Consider the following 2,343-nt stretch of genomic DNA (forward strand, 5'->3'; position numbering starts at 1 on the left):
AGCTTTTTTTAGGCCTGCTAGTCTGAGGAGGGATCCTAAAATTCCAGGTAGTCCCCCCTATGATGGGGCTTTGGGCAAAAATTATGTCTTTGTGATCGGTGAGCCCAGGTTCCTAAAGAAGGGAATAGAGTCCTGGAGTTTCTACTAGAAGTCATTCTTCCAGGAGAACCTACAAAAGCACCAGAGACAGGGAGTGATTTTTAGAATCGGGACTAGCCTCAGAGAAGAGAGGTGAGAGTAAGTTTGTCTGGCAGGCATTAGGACCCAGGAGGTAAGGGTCAGCGTAGATAGAATAGACGGGCGAGTCTCACTTGGGCGACATGCCTTTGAGAGTTCCACTCATGGCCGCAGGATAACCAACTTGTCAGGACCCCGGAGCTGAATGGCTTTCCTCTCTGTCGAGCCTCGGCTCAGCACATAAGTACAGGAAAAGCGGAAGCTGGTTCCAGGCAAACCAATGCTCCCAACTCCGAAGAGTCAGGGGTTGTTAGAGAGCCCTTTCCCAGAAAGCCTGACACCCATGTTTTTAGTCCAGCGGCCTTGCTAGTCACTTTTAACTGGCCAACAGGGGCCCGGTATTTAGCCCCTGAATTCTAAGGAAAAATAGGACAGAATAGCAAGTGAAAGGGGTCCGTCCGATGGTGCTCACCATTTGGCGATAGTCGATTGTCCCTTCATGGTTGCCAAAATGTGTCCAGAATTCGTGAGTTCTTGGACTCGCTGACTTCAAGAATGAAGCTGCACACCCTCGTGGTGAGTGTTACAGTTTTTAAAGGCAGCACGTCTGGAGTTGTTCATTCCTTCCAGTGGGTTCGTGGTCTCACTGGCCTCAGGAGTGAAGCTGCAGACTTATGCGGTGAGTGTTACAGCTCATAAAGGCAGCACAGACCCAAAGAGTGAGCAGCAGCAAGATTTACTGCAAAGAGCGAAAGAACAAAGCTTCCACAGTGTGGAAGGAGACCCAAGCAGGTTGCCACTGCTGGCTGGAGTGGCCTGCTTTTATTCCCTTATTTGGCCCCACCCACATCCTGTTGATTGGTCCATTTTAGAGAGAGCTGATTGGTCCATGTTACAGAGAGCTGATTGGTCCATTTTGACAGAGTGCTGATTGGTGTGTTTACAAACCTTTAGCTAGACACAGAGTGTTGATTGGTGCATTTACAATCCTTTAGCTAGACAGAAAAGTTCTCCAAGTCCCCACCTGACCCAGAAGCCCAGCCATCTTCACCTCTCATTTCTGCAGGCTATTCAAGAAGCATAGCAACTTCTGCTTCTGGGAAGGCCTCAAGAAACTTGCAAACATTGTAGAAAGTGAATGGCGACCCAGGTGTCTTACATGGTGCAGCAGGAGCAAGATAGTGAGGGGAAAGGTACTACACACTTTTAAACAACCTGATGTCATGATAACTCACTTACTCACTATCACAAGAACAGCACAGAGGGGATGGTGCTAACACATCCCTGATAACTCTGTCTCCATGATCCAGTAACCTCTCATCAGACCCCAGCTTCAACACTGGGGATTACAATTCAAGATGATATTTGGGCAGGGACACAGACTCTATCCATATCACCTGTCTCTACAAAAAGTACAAAAATTAGCTGGGTGCGATGGCACACATCTGTAGTCCCAGCTACTCAGGAGGCTGAGTTGGGGAAATCACTTAAGCCCCTAAGGTCAAAGCTGCAGTGAATTGAGATTACACCACTGAACGCCAGCCTGAGCAACAGAGCAAAAAATAAATAAATAAATAAATAATAAATTAGCCAGATGTGGTGGTGCATGCCTGTGGTTCCAGCTACTTGGGAGGCTGAGGTGGGATGGTCACTTGAGCCCAGAAAACTGAGGCTGCAGTGAGCTATAATCACACCACTTCACTCCAGCCTAGGCAACAGGGTCTCACTCCATGTAATATTTTTTCATGTTACATATATGTTTTATCTTGAAGCAAAATCCGAAGGAGTCTAGCATCAATATTTTATGTATTAAGAAGCCCAGGTCAGGTGCAGTGGCTCATGCCTGTAATCCCAACACTCTGGGAGGTGGAAGCAAGCAGATCACTTGACAAGCAAGCAGTAGTTCAAGGCCAGCCTGGGCAACATAGTGGGGCCATCTCAACAAAAAATTAAAAATTAGCCAGGTGTGGGGGTGCATGACCCTTGGGAGTCTTAGGTGGGAGAATTGTTTGAGCCCAGGAGGTTGAGGCTATAGTAAGCTAGGGCCTCAGCACTACATTCCAGCTAGGGTGGCAGGAGGAGACCTTGCCTCAAAAAAAAAAAAAAAAAAAAAAAAGATTTGCTTTTTTTTTTTTTTTTTTTTCTCTTGGCAAGAGGCTGACTAGA

At 47.0% G+C, this 2,343-nt stretch overlaps 1 annotated feature.

The window, feature by feature from the left end:
- Positions 247-1,446: an enhancer, noted in NCBI's record as "BRD4-independent group 4 enhancer chr8:50568577-50569776 (GRCh37/hg19 assembly coordinates)". NCBI's record gives its function as "activates an origin of replication core promoter dependent on BRD2, P300/CBP, MED14 and CDK7 cofactors, and independent of BRD4, by STARR-seq in HCT116 cells {active_cell/tissue: HCT116}" and the evidence as "EXISTENCE:reporter gene assay evidence [ECO:0000049][PMID:35650434]".

This window comes from Homo sapiens, chromosome 8 (genome assembly GCF_000001405.40).
Source record: "Homo sapiens chromosome 8, GRCh38.p14 Primary Assembly".
In the NCBI taxonomy this organism is placed as follows: domain Eukaryota; kingdom Metazoa; phylum Chordata; class Mammalia; order Primates; family Hominidae; genus Homo; species Homo sapiens.